The sequence below is a fragment of the Homo sapiens genome, chromosome 16, assembly GCF_000001405.40.
Source record: "Homo sapiens chromosome 16, GRCh38.p14 Primary Assembly".
Taxonomy (NCBI): Eukaryota; Metazoa; Chordata; class Mammalia; order Primates; family Hominidae; genus Homo; species Homo sapiens.
Window position 1 is genome coordinate 8961976 of NC_000016.10, and position 16002 is coordinate 8977977.

A 16002-nucleotide genomic window follows, 5' to 3' on the forward strand; every position below is an offset into this window, starting at 1 on the left:
TCATTTGCAACCTGGCCAGCCATTTTTTCAGTGACTATCCAATTACTGGAAGTAAGTTATTCTATTCAGAGGTGAACACCAGTCACGCTTAAGTGTTCCCACCAACCGGTGTGCAGCGCCCCACACTTGGAGCCACCGCACAGGACAAATACTGCTTTTCCTGAGCTCCCCTGGAGCTTCATTCATTGAGGCAACCCAAGATCCCTTGCTAAAAGCAAAACTAAAGCATTCCACGCCGTTTTCATTCAGGTGGCCTCCATTTGACTCCCGACAGCCTGAACTCGTCACGTAGGTAAGAAAACTTTTTAAAGACCATTTGGACTTTGCTTTGTTTCAGTGAAATGGGTCGTGAGAAAAAGTGCCTTCCAACGACCAACTCCCTAAATCCAACACCCTTCTCTTTACAGCGTCTTCACATCCAACCTTTACAACCAAGACTCTATACCTCAAACTACAGTGCCTTGGAAAATTACTGCCACATCGGCAGAAAACCGAGTTACCTTTCGAGTCAGGTTTGATTCTGATGCAGGCAGCCATGTGCGGCAGGGCTTTCGCACGGTTGCAAGCGCACACCTGGCCGGATGCTGGCTGCACCACACACTGCCAAGTACAAACTCCCCGAAAAACAGGTGGATTCGGAAACCAACAGCGCCCGGGTCAGAACTCTGGGCCAGTCCAAAACCTGACAACATCTGCGTTCCTTGCAGGTATTTTCGAACGTAAGCCCGACGCTAGGCAGTGCTGTTAGAAAGTGATTTGGAAGAGCGCTTCCGAGCCACGGCGCGCCCTCCGGGGGAGCGCACCGGAGCAGGTGCGGGCGAGCCCCGCGCCCGGGGAGGTCAGGAATTCCCCAGCCACACCAGATCCAACCGGACGCCCCAGAACGGGGACGGTCCCCGGAGTCCGCCTCCCAACCTGGGTGAGAAAACACCTCCGTCCCTCCGCTGCCTGAGCGCTCGAATTTACAACTCAGGGCGCTTTGTGCCGCGGAGGCCCGGCGGACGCGAGGTCGGGACAATGCACGGGGCCGGGGTCCCGGCGGCCGCCCCTCGCCCGCGGACCCGGCATGACTTTGCAGCCTCGCAGGCCGGGGCCGGGAGGCCAGGCCGAGGCCCGGCGGCCGCCCGGGGCCTGGTTAAAGATGGCGAGCCCCTCGCGTGGCTCCCGCGGCTCCCCCGGCCACAATGAAAGGCGCCCCCCGGCCCCGCCGCGGCCGGCCCTCGGGCCTCACCTTCCATCTCCATGTCCTCGGGCTCGCTCAACTGCTGCTCGCCCGCTTTCTGCTGCTGCTGCTGCTGCTGGTGGTTCATGTCGGCCGCGGCCTGGGCCTCGCCTGCGGCCGGGGGCCGGGGCTGCGAGCCCGGCGGGCGGGCGGCGGCGAGCCGGGGCGGCGGCGGCGGCGGCGGCGGCGGGGCGGCCTCCTCCTCCTCCTCCCGCGCGTCGTCGGCGACGGCGGCCCCGGGGCGGCCCGCGGCGGGCGGCGGCGGCGGCAGGGAGACGCGCACGTACTTGCTCGCGATTCGCCCAATCTCGGCGCCGAGGCGGGCGGGCGGCCGGCGGGCCGGGCCGGGCGGCCTCGTCGCTCGCTGCGGCCGCCGCCGCCGCCGCCGCGGGGCCCGCCTCCCGCCGCCGGGGCCGGGGCCGGGGCTGCGGGGCCGCGGGCCGGCCGGGGGCGGAGGGCGGCCGGTCGGGGGCCGCGGAGTCAGCCCCGCCTCGGGCCGGGCGCGGCGGACGGGAGGCCTGGCCGGCCGCGGCGGGCCTGCGGGCCCTGGGGCCGGCGGGAGCGGCGGAGCGGGCGGGCGACGGGCCGGCCGCGTTCCGAGAGCCGCGGCCTCCGCCTCCTCGGCGTCGTCGTCGGGGCTCCGGCAGCGGACGCGGCGCCCGGCAGCTCGGCTCGGCTCGCTCTCAAAATGGCGGCGGCGTGAAATGTCACATCCGCATGGGGGGCCGCGGAGCGAGCGAGCGAGCGAGGAGAGCAAGCGGGCGGGCGCCGAGCCGGAGGGCGGAGCGGGAGCGCAGGGCGGAGCACGGGAGGCGGAGCAGGGAGCGACCCGCCTGCCGCCGCCGCCGAGGCCCGCCTGCCCCGCAGCGCCGCGCCCCGGCACCGCCTGCGCCGCAGCCCCGCGGCGGACCCTCGGCGCTCCCTGCCCCCGGGCCCTGGGGGCCGAGGCGGGCCGCCCGGTGACTTAGCCCTGCGGAGGTGAACCGGAATCCTTCCCATCCTGGGGAGCCGGACACCCCGAAAGACCCAGGAGCGGCAATGAGGAGGGGCCCAGAAGCCACCCGGCAGCCGGGGTTCAGGTCCCAGCCTAGCGCGCCGGGGCGAGCGCTGGAGGTTGCCCGGGGACTGCTCGGGATAGGGCCCGGAAGGGAGCTTGGGGTCAGCGCCTAGAAGTTCCTGTTATTGTCGTTACTTACCCTTGCCCGCTGACGTGCACTTTTTCACCCAGTATCTACCGTGGAAGAATTTATTTTCTCACTGTCAGCCTAATCTGGCAAAGTTTGGCTCCTCAAGAGCAACCCCAGGCGGGGCGCAGCTGCTCACACCTGTGATCCCAGCACTTTGGGAGGCCGAGGTGGGAGAATCACTTGAGGCCAAGAGTAAGAGACCACCCTCTCTACAAAGGTTTTGGGTTTTGTTTTTATATTTTTGAAATGTATTTTTAATTAGCCGGGTGTTGTGCCTCCTGCCTGTAGTGACAGCTACTTGGGAGGCTGAGGCTGGAGGTTCGCTTGGGAGGTTGACTGAGGCTGCAGTGATCAAAGATGGCGCCACTGCACTCCAGCCTGGGCAACAGAATGAGACCCTGTCTCAACTAATAGTGATAATAAAATAATAATATAAAAATAAAACAAGCCCACTACCCTTCACATTTGGTATTAATTTACTTCCTTCCTATCAACCCAGTCTGGGATCATTCACCCGGGGCCTCCCTATTCCAGGAGACATTTGGTGAATATATCTCCTGTCCTGTCTCATTCAGTCATTGACAGACTGATGATTAGGGTCTCAACTTTTCCAGTTAATCAAGGCAGTGTGGGTCAATAAAAATGGAGCAAACCGATATACATTTCTACACATCTCAGGGGAGAATAGAATTTCACCCTAACAAGGCCAGAAGATTGTGGTACCTGTCTTCTCTCCATCTCCCTATACCCGCTTTCCCTGCATTTTTCTCCCATTTATGTACTGTTCATCTCCCTTCCCCCCGAAAGAATGTTTTGCTCACTGTTGTATCACAAATGCCTGGGATACACAGCAAGTGCTCAATAAAAATTGGTTGGGCCAGGTCGGCGCGGTGGCTCACACCTGTAATCCCAGCACTTTGGGAGGCCAAGGCGGGCGGATCACTTGAGGTCGGGAGTTTGAGACCAGCCTGACCAACATGGAGAAACCCCGTCTCTACTTAAAGTACAAAATTAGCCGGGCGTGGTGGCGCATGCCTGTAATCCCAGCTACTCAGGAGGCCGAGGCAGGAGAATCACTTGAACCCGGGAGGTGGAGGGTGCGGTGCGGTGAGCTGACATCGCGCCATTGCACTCTAGCCTAGGCAACGAGCGAAACTCTATCTCAAAAAAAAAAAAAAAATTGGTTGGGCCAGGCACGGTGGCTCACGCCTGTAATCTCAGCACGTTGGGAGGCCGAGGTGGGCGGATCACCTGAGGTCAGGAATTCGAGACTAGCCTGGCCAACATGGTGAAACCTCATGTCTACTAAAAATACATACAAAAAACTTAGCCGGGCATGGTGGCATACGCTGGTAATCCTAGCTACTCAGGAGGCTGAGGCAGGAGAATTGCTTGAAGCCAGGAGGTGGAGGCTGCAGTCAGCTAATCACACCCCTGCACTCCAGCCTGGGCAATAGAGGGAGATTCCATCTAAAATAAATAAATACATAAATAAATATTGGTTGAATGGGCCAGGCACAGTGGCTTACACCCCTTATGCCAGCACTTTGGGAGATTGAGGCGGGAGGATCAATCACTTGAGCCCAGGAGTTGGAGACCAGCCTGGGCAACATAGGGAAACCCGATCTCAATCAGCCAATCAATTAATCAATCATTAGTCAACTGGTTGAATGAACATATGATTCAAGCGTGACTGGATCCCCCTCACCAGCATTTCGTACGCTTGAAGGTTTTTCACCAGTATATTTCCTGCCAGACCACAGAGGTGAGCAGGGGAGAGCCCAGTCACTTCAAAGGAATCCCTTGGGTCACCCCCAGAATCTGAAGAAGAGGTATTGTTATTCACACAGATTCTCACAAATGCTAATCAACAGCGCTCAGATGCAAAAGAGTCCTTCTCTCTAGTATTCTGGAAGCTTGGAGGAGGGAAGAAAGTGCCTTTCTGGCAGAGGAAGAGGTGGCAGAAAGTTATGTATATGGCTGTCAGTTCACATTGGCCAACCTTATCCTCATCACTGAGTTCAAAACCAATCTGGCCGGGCACGGTGATTCACGCCTGTAATCCCAGCACTTTGGGAGGCTGAGGCGGGCGGATCATGAGGTCAGGAGTTCGAGACTAGCATGACCAACATGGTGAAACCACGTCTCTACTAGAAATACAAAAATTAGCCGGGCATGGTAGCGCGCCTGTAATCCCAGCTACTCAGGAGGCTGAAGCATGAGAATCGCTTGAACCTGGGAGGTGGAGGTTGCAGTGAACCGAGATTGCACCACTGCACTCCAGCCTGGGCTATAGAACGAGACTCTGTGTCAAAAAAAAACAAAAAACAAAAAACAAAAAACACACAATATCTCTCTCTCTTTCTAGAAGCACCTTGAGGAAGAAATTGTCTTGTCTACAGCTCTATCCTCAGTACAGCACCAAGCTTACAGTGGATGCTCAGTGAAGATTTGCCGATTTGCCGAATGAATGCTTTCACCCCTGCAACTGTTTACTGCCTGCTAGGAGCTCAGAGCCTCTGGGATACAGGCTGGGAATGACAGTGCCTGCTCGCTTGGAAGGCCTCTCTTCTGGAGTCAATAAAACAGCACTTCTTTGCTTCTTCCTGGCTGGTCCACATCTTTCACTGAGGAGTGGATAGTGGAGGGAGAGTTCATTTCTAGGGCACCACAGCTATGAGAAAAGCAAGACCAGTGCCCTTGGAGGCCCACTAAAAAGGCCCCCACTGGATTATTCCAGCAGGCTCGGCTGGCCTGTTTTCTTCCTCCCCTGGTAGAATTGTGCCTGCATTGGCTATAAAGTCCATTTGCACACAGAAGGGGTGTGTGTGGAAGGACTCTGCAGAAGTGAATCCGCTGAGTAATGCCTGCTTCCTCAGAGGGTGAATGCCAAGATGCCTCCAAAGGACATGAAGGGCTCTGAAGGGGAAGATGACTGAGGGCACCATTTTTGATCACTGCCAATTAAAAAAAAAAAAATTCATGACCCCTACCGTGGTTCAGAAACCGGGGACTAAGGAGATGAAAAACCGGGGAGACAGGAACCGCTGGAGAAACTGACTTGTCATTAGCTAGAGCCAGTAAAGGGCAGGGAGGGCCCACCCTATCATTACTTGGATCAAAACATATTTTGCTGCTCCCAGGGCCATGGCATGACTTGGCATAAACAGAGGGTTGGTTTTTCTTCTTGAGAACCAAAATATTTATCTACCTTGAAGCTATGTTGGTCAGGGTCTAAAATTATTTAATAGAAGTGTCAGAGAAGAAAAGGGATTAACAGCTTTCCCCCTCTCCACGCCTTCATCTGCCCCCACCCCCCGCCCCACCGGGATAACTAAATTCCTAAATAATCCATACCTAGAAAGATGACCTAATCCCATACCACAAGGTTACTGATGAGGATTTGGGTTTAGAGAAGATAAGGGACTTAGCCAAGGTCAAGCAGTGTGGGAGAGTAAGGGGCTTTAGGATTCAGAAACCAGGTGGAACCTAGCTCCATACATGGTTCTGTAAACTTGAATTTGGGAAGCTTACTTAACCTTTTCTTTTCTCTTTTTTCTTTTCTTTTCTTTTTCCTTTTTTTTTTTTTTTTTTTGAGGTAGAGTCCAGCCCAGGCTGGAGTGCAATGGCACGATCTCAGCTAACTGCAACCTCCGCCTCCTGGGTTCAAGCGATTCTCTTGCCTCAGCCTCCTGAGTAGCTGGGATTACAGGTGCACACCACCACACCTGGCTAATATTTGCCTTTTTGGTAGAAACGGGGTTTCACCATGTTGGTCAGGCTGATCTCAAACTCCTGACCTCTGGTGAACCACCCACATCGGCTTCCCAAAGTGCTAGGATTACAGGCGTGAGCCACCACGCCCAGCCCAACCTTTTCTAATTCTGGATTCTTATCAGGGAAATGGGAAAACAGTCTACCTGAAACCATAAAATATCAAACGCTTCAAAATCCACAGGTTGGCCAGTGCATTCGCTCACGCCTGTAATCCTAGCACTTTGAGAGGCCGAGGTGGGCAGATTGCTTGAGCTCAGGAGTTTGACAACAGCCTGGGTAACATGATGAAAACCTGTCTCTACCAAAAAATACATGAAAATTGGCCGGGTGTGGCCAGGCACAGTGGCTCACGCCTGTAATCCCAGCACATTGGGAGGCCGATGTGGGTGGGTCACCTGAGGTCAGGAGGTCGAGACCAGCCTGGCCAACATGGTGAAACCCCGTCTCTACTAAAAATACAAAAATCAGCTGGGTGTGGTGGCGCACACCTGTAATTCCAGCTACTTGGGAGGCTGAGGCAGGAGAATCGCTTGAACCCAGGAGGCGGAGGTTGCAGTGAGCCGAAATGGCGCTACTGCTCTCCAGCCTGGGCGACAAGAGCGAAACTCCTTCTCGGGGGGAGAAAAAAAAAAAAGAAAATTAGATGGGTGTGGTGGCTTGCGCCTGTGGTCCCAGCTACTCAGGAGGCTGAGATGGAAGGATCGCTTGAACCAGGAATGGAAGTTGCAGTGAGCCAAGATCGCACTACTGCACTCCAGCCAGGGTAACAAAGTGAGACCCTGTCTCAAAAACAAACCAACAAACACACAAACAAAAAAACCAGGCATGGTGGTGCACGCCTTTAGTCCCAGCTACCTGGGTGGCTGAGGCAGGAGAATCGCTTGAACCTGCGAGGTGGAGGCTGCAGTGAGCTGAGACTGTGCCACTGCATTTCAGCCTGGGCGACAGAGAGAGACTTCACCTCAAAAAAAAAAAAAAAGAAAAAGAAATGAAAAGAAAAAAGAAAAAAAATCAGAGGTTGTGAGATCATTGTTCTAAGAACAGAATGAGGCTGGGCACAGTGGCTCACGCCTGTAATCCCAGCATTTTGGGAGACTGAGGCGGGCAGATCACCTGAGGTCAGGAGTTGGAGACCAGCTTGGCCAACATAGTGAAACCCCACCTCTACTGAAAATACAAAAATATTAGCCAAGTATGGTGGCAGGCACCTGTAATCCCAGCTACTTAGGAGGCTGAGGCAAGAGAATGGCTTGAACCCGGGAGATAGAGGTTGCAGTGAGGCAAGATCGTGCCACTGCACTCTAGCCTGGGCAACAGAGTGAGACCCCTTCTCAAAAAAAAAAAAAAAAGAAAAAGAACAGAATGAGACCCCAGCCTCCAATTCCTGACCCCCGCAATCCACCATCCTTTCACTCAAATCTGTTTTTGGGATGAGTGCCTATTATGAGATAGGGACCCTGTTGCCTCAGGCTAAATGAATAGCAAAAGTGACTGCCACAGAGTGGCTAAATAAAACGAAGTCATGTGACCAGCATTCTTCTGGGATTGGTTTTGGAAGAGAGACAGCCAAATGCAAATGAAAGCTTTATGCCAAAATGACTGCTCCCAGTTGGCCAGGTGTGTGTATAGTGGTTGGAGTCGTGTTCATTTTTTTTTTTTTTTTTGAGGTGGAATTTCACTCTTGTTGCCCAGGCTGGAGTACAACGGCACGATCTTGGCTCACCACAACCTCCGCCTCCCCGGGTTCAAGCGATTCTCCTGCCTCAGCCTCTGGAGTAGCTGGGATTACAGGCATGCCCCACCACGCCCAGCTAATTTAGTATTTTTAGTAGAGATGGGGTTTCTCCATGTTGGTCAGGCTGGTCTCGAACTCCCAACCTCAGGTGATCCGCCCGCCTCGGCCTCCCAAAGTGCTGGGATTACAGGCGTGAGCCACCACATCCATCCAAAATTTTTAAGAAAACAGTTCGACAAAGGTGCTTTGGTAGAGTGACTGGGTTGGCTCACATTTAGACGAAGTTGCAATGAGAGTCAGTGAGAACATGGACAGCCAGCATCAGTGTCATCTTTTTCTTTTCTTAATTTTTATTTTTAGGAAAATTAGTCAAATTGTTACTAACAAGATCTTGCTATGTTGCTGTTGCCCAGGCTGGTCTTGAACTCCTGGCCTTAAGTGCTCTTCCTACCTCAGCCTCCCAAAATGCTGGGATTATAGGCTGTGATTATACCACTCCTGGCTAGAAAATGGCATTTTAAATGGAAACTGTAAAGCTAAAATTTAAAACTACTTTTTTTTTTTCTTTTCTTTAGAGATAGAGTCTTGCTCTGTCACCCAGGCTGGAGTGCAGTGGCCAAATCTCGGCCCACTGCAACCTCCGTCTCCTGGGTTCAAGTGATTCTCCTGTCTCGGCTTCCCAAGTAGTTAGAACTACCGGTGTGCACCACCACACCCAGCTAATTTTTGTATTTTTTTAGTAGAGACGGGGTTTCATTGTATGTTGGCCAGGCTGGTCTCAAACTCCTGACCTTAGGTGATCCTCCTGCCTTGGCCTCCCAAAGTGCTGGGACTACAGGCACGAGCCACCATACCCAGCCTTAAAACTACATTTTTTTTTTTTTTTTTTTGAGACGGAGTCTCTTGCTCTGTCGCCCCGGCTGGAGAGTGGTGGTGCGATCCTGGGTCACTGCAACCTCCGCCTCCTGAGTTCAAGCGATTCTCCTGCCTCCCCGAGTAGCTGGGACTACAGGCGCATGCCACCACACCTGGCTAATTTTTTTTTTTTTTCGAGACAGAGTCTCACTTTGTCGTCCAGGCTGGAGTGCATTGGCGCGATCTCGGCTCACTGCAAGCTCTGCCTTCCGGGTTCACGCCTTTCTCCTGCCTCAGTCTCCCGAGTAGCTGGGACTACAGGCACCCGCCAGCATGCCTGGCTAATTTTTTGCATTTTTTTTTTTTTAGTAGAGACGGGGTTTCACCGTGTTAGCCAGGATGGTCTCGATCTCCTGACCTCGTGATCTGCCCACCTCAGCCTCCCAAAGTGCTGGGATTACAGGTATGAGCCACCATGCCTGGCCTCTAATTTTTTGTATTTTTAGTGGAGACAGGGTTTCACTGCATTAGCCAGGATGGTCTCATCCTGACTTCCTGATCCGCCGTCCTTGGCCTCCCAAAGTGCTGGGATTACAGGCGTGAGCCACTGTGCCCGGCCTAAAACTACATATTTTAAAGAGGGGTGGGACTCAGTTTAGCCCAGGAACTACCCCCAACCAACATTGCTTTTGGCACCAAAGGCTTCACCTACTTACCTGGCCATGGGATGAGGCAGGTGTCTGCCCAGAGGGGCACCATTAGCTTGCACAAGGGCACTGTAAAAGCTAGTGCCAGCCCTGCCTTTGAGAGGTGCTATTATTACTCCCATTTTACAGAACAGGACACTAAGGCAGCAAAAGGCTAATGGCCCCAAAACTGGTCCAGTAAGAAGCAACACCAAGATGTCAACTCTGAACACAACCCCAGTGTTCATCAACAAGTGAGTGGGTCAACAAGAGTGATCTATCAGCACAATGGAATATTATTCAGCCGTAAATAAGAATGAAGTACTGATTCATGCTACAGCATTGATGAACCTTGAAAATACCATGCTAAGTGAAAGAAAGTAGATAAAAGGAGAACTATTATATGATTAATTGATATGAAACGCCCATGAAAAGCAAATCCATAGAGACAGAAAACAGACTAGCAACTGCCTGCGGTTCACAGGAGGTGGGCAATGGGGAGTGGCTGCAGATGGGTATAGGATTTGGGGGGAGAAATGACAATGTCTTAAAATTGACTATGGTGATGGTTGTACAACTCTCTGAACATAGTAAAAACCATTGCATTGTACATTTAATACAGATAAATTGTGCAGTAGGTGAATTATATTTCAATAAAACTGTTATTGGCCTGGCACGGTGGGGGCTCACACCTGTAATCCCAACACTTTGGGAGGCTGAGGCGGGTGGATACCTGAGGTCAGGAGTTCAAGACCAGCTTGGCCAATGGTGTGAAACCCTGTCACTACTAAAAATACAAAAATTAGCCGGGTGTGCTGGCAGGAGCCTGTAGTCCCAGCTCCTGCTCAGGAGGCTGAGGCAGGAGAATTGCTTGAACCTGCAATGTGGAGGTGGCAGTGAGCCAAAATTGTACCACTGAACTCCAGCCTGGGCAACAGAGTGAGACTCTGTCTCAAAAAAAAAAAAAGCTGTTATTTTTAGTTTTTATTTTTAAGAGGTTTCAACTCCCTGCTGGAGTTCCTAATGAGTCCTATCATGTCTTTACCCAGGCTTATCAGTTTTTCAAAACCCACATCCAAAGAAAACCCTAACTTAATATTCTGCCACTGAATGTATACAAATAGCCATTGTTTTCCCTTATCCACTCTGTACCAGCCCCTTTTTTTTGAGACGGAGTCTCGCTCTGTTGCCCAGTTTGGAGTGCAGTGGCGGGAATTCAGATCTCAGCTCACTGCAACCTCTGCCTCCCAGGTTCAAACAGTTATCTGCCTCACCCTCCTGAGTAGCTGGGATTCCAGGTGCCTGCCACCACACCCGGCTAATTTTTGTATTTTTAGTAGAGATGGGGTTTCACCATCTTGGCCAGGCTGGTCTTGAACTCCTGATCTCGTGATCCTCCCGAAGTGCTGGGATTACAGGCATGAGCCACTGCGCCCGACATTAACTTTTACAAAGTGAAAGCCAGTTCCTCCAAAAGCTAAAGAGTTACCATAGGACCCAGGAATTCCACTCCTAGGCATATACCCAAGAGAACTGAAAACAGGGACTCAAACAAATACATGTACACACACATAGCAGTGTTATTCAGTCACCAAAAGGTGGAAACAACCCAAATGTCCATCAAAGAATGAATGGATGAATAAAATGTGATCTAACAGCTGAGCACTATGCTCAGCTGCCTGTAATCCCAGCTACTCCAGAGGCTGAGGTGGATTGCTCAAGGACAGGAGTTCAAGACCTGCCTGGGCAGCATAGCACAGACACGACCTCTAAAAGTAATAATAAAATATATCTTCCATAAAATAAAATACTATTCAGCCATAAAATGAAATAAACTAGATTCATACTACAACTTGGATGAATCTTGAAAACATTATGCTAAGAGAAAAAGCCAGACACAAAAGGTCACATATGCTTCCACTTATAAGAAATATTCAGGTTACGCAAATTATAAACAGAAAGTAGATTAGCTTTTGCCAGGAGCTGAAAAGAGTGGGGAAAAAGGGGAGTGACTGCTAATGGGTACGGTGTTTGTTTTTGAGACAGAGTCTCAATTTGTCGCCCAGGTTCAAGTGCAGTTATCAGGATCTCGGCTCACTGCAACCTCCCTCTCCTGGGTTCAAGTGATCCTCCCACCTCAGCATCCCTAGTAGCTGGGACTACAGGTGCAAACCACCATGTCCAGCCAATTTTTGTGTTTTTAGTAGAGACGGGATTTCACCATGTTGGCCAGGCTAGTCTTGAACTCCTGACCTCAAGTGATCCACCCTCCTTTGGCCTCCCAAAGTGCTGGGATTACAGGCACGAGCCACCACGTCCACCACCGGTATGGTGTTTCTTTTCGGCATGATGAAAGTGTTCTGAGGACACAGGGTGTCATGGCTTACGCCTGTAATCCCAGCATGGTGGGAGGCTGAGGTGCGAAGATCACTTGAGCCCAGGAGTTCAAGACCAGCTTGGGCAACATGGTGAAATCCCCATCTCTACTAAAAATACAAATAGTTAGCTTGGTGTGGTGGCACACGCCTGTAATCCTAGCTACTCAGGAGGCTCAGCTGGGAGCATCACTTGGGCCCAGGAGGTCAAGGCTGCAGTGATCCGAAGTTGTGCCACTGCATTCCAGCCTGGGCAACTGGAGTGAAAGAAACCCTGTCTCAGGAAAAAAAAAAAAAAGAAAAAATGTTCTGGGATTAGATGGTGGTGATGGTTGCACACTTTTGTGAATGCACTGAAAACCATTGAATTGTACATTGAGTATTGAAAATGTTCAGTGTGGGCCGGGTGCAGTGGCTCACATTGATAATGCCAGCAGACCTTTGTTGGGGAGATGTAATGATATTGCTAAATAGTCAATTCAGCAGCACTCAATGAGGTGATCTGTTCTAGTTTGGAAGAGATTACAAAGGTGATTTAAGGGATTTAAGGGTAATTATGATCCTACTTGATTTTGGCATTTGTTCCAATCTCGGAACCTCTGTTCTATGCAGGCGTCCTTTAGCCATTACTCCTGCTGCGCTAGATCACATCTCACCCTTTGCTCTCCACCCTGCCTCTAGCCTGTGTCCCAAATTCATCCTTCCACTTGTTGCTGAAAAGACCAACTCCTAGACAGGTACTGTGGCTTATGCCTATAATCCCAGCACTGTAGGATGCCAAGATGAGGGGGACTCTGCTAGGCAACACAGTGAAACCTCATCTCTGCAAAAAATAAACAAAATTAGCTGGGCATGGTGGTGCGCACCTATAGTCCTAGCTACTCGGGAGGCTGAGGTAGGAGGATTGCTTGAGCCCGGGAGGCTGAGGCTGCATGAGCCAAGATGGCACCACTGCACTCCAGCCTGGGTGACAGAGCGAGATCCTATCTCAAAAATCAAACAAACAAACAAATAAAAAAAAAACAACCAACTCCGTTTTTATCAATCCAATCCATTTCCAAGGAACACCAGGAAAGGCAAGAAGAGAAAACACAAGCTCAACTGCAACAGAAGAGGCCAAACACGGATTTGGAAATGTCATGCCTAAAACCCTCCAGAGGAAACACAAGCTATCGAAAGCACTGTACATTTTCTCTAAGGTGATCAACGGCGTTATCTATGTCCATGAAGTTTTCTTATAGCCAGCAATCAAGTTGGAAAATATAATTTTAAAAAACATACCTTGTTTTGTGCTGTGATCACTGCAGCTGAACTCAGCCAGTAGCCACAGGGACTGGTGGCTGGTACTTGGGTCTTCCTGGGGAAGGCACCTCAGGGCCTTGGGGAGGGGCTGAGATTTGCGCCTCTGGCTACGCTTGAAGCTTGGCTCACGCCTCGATTTCCGAATTGGTCTTAACGGCGGCATGGGGAATCTCCGGAAAGCAAGCTCTCTGGGGCCTTCCTGAGCTTTCTGAGCCCGTTCAGAGGAAAATAGGAAATAAGAGAAAGTGATGTGATCCCTGCCTTCTCCGCCTCCAGCTTCTTATAATTCAACTCCCACCTACCCACCCTTCCCCACCCGGCTCACTGAAGGCTGGATCTGGACTCCTTACCTCATTTGCATAGCTTAAAGGTTTACTTAAGGCGGTCCCAGAACAAAAGAACAGGCTAAAGTAATTTTGAAGACTCCACCTTTGTTTTTATTTTCTTTCCTTTTTCTTCTGTTTTAATTTTTTAATTTTTTTTTTTTTTTTGAGACAGAGTCTCACTCTGTCACCCAGGCTGGAGTGTGGTGGTGCGATCTCAGCTCACTGAAACCTCTGCCTTCTGGGTTAAAATGATTCTTCTGCCTCAGCCTCCCAAGTAGCAGGGATTACAGGCGCATACCACCACACCTGGCTAATTTTTTTTGTATCTTTAGTAGAGACGGGGTTTCACCAGGTTGGCCAGGCTGGTCTCAAACTCCTGACCTCAAGTGAGCCGCCTGCCTCGGCTTCCCAAAGTGCTGGGATTACAGGCGTGAGCCACCACGCCCAGCCCCGGACATTTCTTTTTTTCTTTTTTTTTTAATTTTACTTTAAGTTCTAGGGTACATGTTCACAACGTGCAGGTTTGTTACATATGTATACATGTGCCATGTTGGTGTGCTGCACCCGTTAACTTGTCATTTACATTAGGTATATCTCCTAATGCTATCCCTCCCCCCTCCCCCCACCCCCCAGCAGGCCCTGGTGTGTGATGTTCCCCACCCTGTATCCATGTGTTCTCATTGTTCAGTTCCCACCTATGAGTGACAACACACGGTGTTTGGTTTTCTGTCCTTGCAATAGTTTGCCCAGAATGATGGTTTCCAGCTTCATCCATGTCCCTATAAAGGACATGAACTCATCCTTTTTTATGGCTGCATAGTATCCCATGGTCTATATGTGCCACATTTCTGAATCCAGTCTATCATTGATCGACATTTGGGTTGGTTCCAAGTCTTTGCTATTGTGAATAGTGCTGCAATAAACATATGTGTGCGTGTGTCTTTATAGCAGCATGATTTATAATCCTTTGGCTATATGCCCAGTAATGGGATAGCTGGATCAAATGGCATTTCTAGTTCTAGATCCTTGAGGAATCACCACACTGTCTTCCACAATGGTTGAACTAGTTTACAGTCCCACCAACAGTGTAAAAGCGTTCCTATTTCTCCACATCCTCTCCAGCACCTGTTGTTTCCTGACTTTTAATGATTGCCATTCTAACTGGTGTGAGATGGTATCTCATTGTGGTTTTGATTTGCATTTCTCTGATGGCCAGTGATGATGAGCATTTTTTCACGTGTCTTTTGGCTGCATAAATGTCTTCTTTTGAGAAGTGTCTGTTCATATCCTTCACCCACTTTTGATGGGGTTGTTTGACTTTTTCTTGTAAATTTGTTTAAGTTCTTTGTAGATTCTGGATATTAGCCCTTTGTCAGATAGGTAGATTGTAAAAATTTTCTCCCATTCTGTAGGTTGCCTGTTCACTCCAATAGTAGTTTGTTTTGCTGTGCAAAAGCTCTTTAGTTTAATTAGATCCCATTTGTCAATTTTGGCTTTTGTTGCCATTGCTTTTGGTGTTTTAGTCATGAAGTCCTTGCCCATGCCTATGGCCTGAGTGGTATTGCCTAGGTTTTCTTCTAGAGTTTTTATGGTTTTAGGTCTAACGTTTAAGTCTTTAATCCATCTTGAATTGATTTTTGTATAAGGTATAAGGAAGAGATCCAGTTTCAGCTTTTACATATGGCTAGCCAATTTTCCCAGCACCATTTATTAACTAGGGAATCCTTTCCCCATTTCTTGCTTCTGTCAGGTTTGTCAAAGAGCAGATGGTTGTAGATGTGTGGTATTATTTCCGAGGGCTCTATTCCATTCCATTGGTCTATATCTCTGTTTTGGTACCAGTACCATGCTGTTTTGGTTACTGTAGCCTTGTAGTGTAGTTTGAAGTCAGGTAACATGATGCCTCCACCTTTGTTCTTTTGGCTTAGGATTGTCTTGGCAATGCACAGCCCTAGAAATTTCTATGAGAAACTACTGCACTTCTTTCTTTCTTCTCTCTTTCTTTCTTTTTCTTCTTTCCTTCTTTCCTCCCTCCATTTCTTCCTTCATTTTCTTTTCATTTGTTTCTTTATTGTCTTTCTCTGTCTCCTAGGCTGAGTGCAGTGGTGCAATCATAGCTCACTGCAGCCTCGACCTCCTGGGCTCAAGCGATCCTCCCACCTCAGCCTCCTGAGTAGGTGCGACTATAGGTGTGTGCCACTACGCTTTTTGTTTTTAAGTTTTTTGTAGAGATGGGGTGGCCATGTTGCCCAGGCTGGCCTTGAACTCCTAGCCTCAAGAGATCTTCCTGCCTTGGCCTTCCAAAGTGCTGGGATTACAAGTGTGAACCACCAGGACCAGTGCCTGCACCTTTTTCTAAGTACACTACAAAAATGTCTCATGTAAAGACTTTCATTCTCTCCTTCACTTGGGAGGCTGGGGTGGGAAGATCACTTGAGCGCAGGAAGTCTAAGCTGCGGTGAGCTGTGATCACACCACCACACTCTAGGCTGGGTGACAGAGTGAGACTTGTCTCAATAAAAAATATAAAAACAGGC

General features: G+C 50.2%; 1 protein-coding gene and 1 long non-coding RNA gene across 2 annotated transcripts in view, besides 7 other annotated features; one reads left to right on the forward strand and one right to left on the reverse strand.

The window, feature by feature from the left end:
* Positions 1–1931, reverse strand: part of USP7 (ubiquitin specific peptidase 7) — a 71810-nt gene extending 69879 nt beyond the window's left edge. Inside the window, exon 1 of the mRNA NM_003470.3 lies at positions 1232–1931. Coding sequence (NP_003461.2) covers positions 1232–1310 — 79 coding nt within the window. The 5' untranslated portion in view covers positions 1311–1931. The remainder of the gene's footprint in view (positions 1–1231) is intronic.
* Positions 302–838: an enhancer, noted in NCBI's record as "H3K27ac hESC enhancer chr16:9056134-9056670 (GRCh37/hg19 assembly coordinates)". NCBI's record gives its function as "activates a minimal SCP1, AML or CMV promoter by ChIP-STARR-seq in naive and primed H9 embryonic stem cells {active_cell/tissue: H9 hESC(naive and primed)}" and the evidence as "EXISTENCE:reporter gene assay evidence [ECO:0000049][PMID:30033119]".
* USP7-AS1 (USP7 antisense RNA 1) lies at positions 738–5015 on the forward strand. The gene is made up of 2 exons (NR_184341.1): positions 738–919; positions 4778–5015. It is a non-coding gene; the product is annotated as a USP7 antisense RNA 1 (long non-coding RNA).
* Positions 2034–2393: a silencer, noted in NCBI's record as "silent region_7183". NCBI's record gives its function as "represses an Ori minimal core promoter by ATAC-STARR-seq in GM12878 lymphoblastoid cells {active_cell/tissue: GM12878}" and the evidence as "EXISTENCE:reporter gene assay evidence [ECO:0000049][PMID:35858748]".
* Positions 3535–4158: an enhancer, noted in NCBI's record as "OCT4-NANOG-H3K27ac-H3K4me1 hESC enhancer chr16:9059367-9059990 (GRCh37/hg19 assembly coordinates)". NCBI's record gives its function as "activates a minimal SCP1, AML or CMV promoter by ChIP-STARR-seq in naive H9 embryonic stem cells {active_cell/tissue: H9 hESC(naive)}" and the evidence as "EXISTENCE:reporter gene assay evidence [ECO:0000049][PMID:30033119]".
* Positions 3535–4782: a biological region, named in NCBI's record as "hESC enhancers GRCh37_chr16:9059367-9059990 and GRCh37_chr16:9059991-9060614".
* Positions 4077–4371: a silencer, noted in NCBI's record as "tiled region #8562; K562 Repressive non-DNase unmatched - State 23:Low". NCBI's record gives its function as "represses a minimal TATA promoter and a strong SV40 promoter by Sharpr-MPRA in K562 cells {active_cell/tissue: K562}" and the evidence as "EXISTENCE:reporter gene assay evidence [ECO:0000049][PMID:27701403]".
* Positions 4159–4782: an enhancer, noted in NCBI's record as "OCT4-NANOG-H3K27ac hESC enhancer chr16:9059991-9060614 (GRCh37/hg19 assembly coordinates)". NCBI's record gives its function as "activates a minimal SCP1, AML or CMV promoter by ChIP-STARR-seq in primed H9 embryonic stem cells {active_cell/tissue: H9 hESC(primed)}" and the evidence as "EXISTENCE:reporter gene assay evidence [ECO:0000049][PMID:30033119]".
* Positions 4783–5404: an enhancer, noted in NCBI's record as "H3K27ac hESC enhancer chr16:9060615-9061236 (GRCh37/hg19 assembly coordinates)". NCBI's record gives its function as "activates a minimal SCP1, AML or CMV promoter by ChIP-STARR-seq in naive H9 embryonic stem cells {active_cell/tissue: H9 hESC(naive)}" and the evidence as "EXISTENCE:reporter gene assay evidence [ECO:0000049][PMID:30033119]".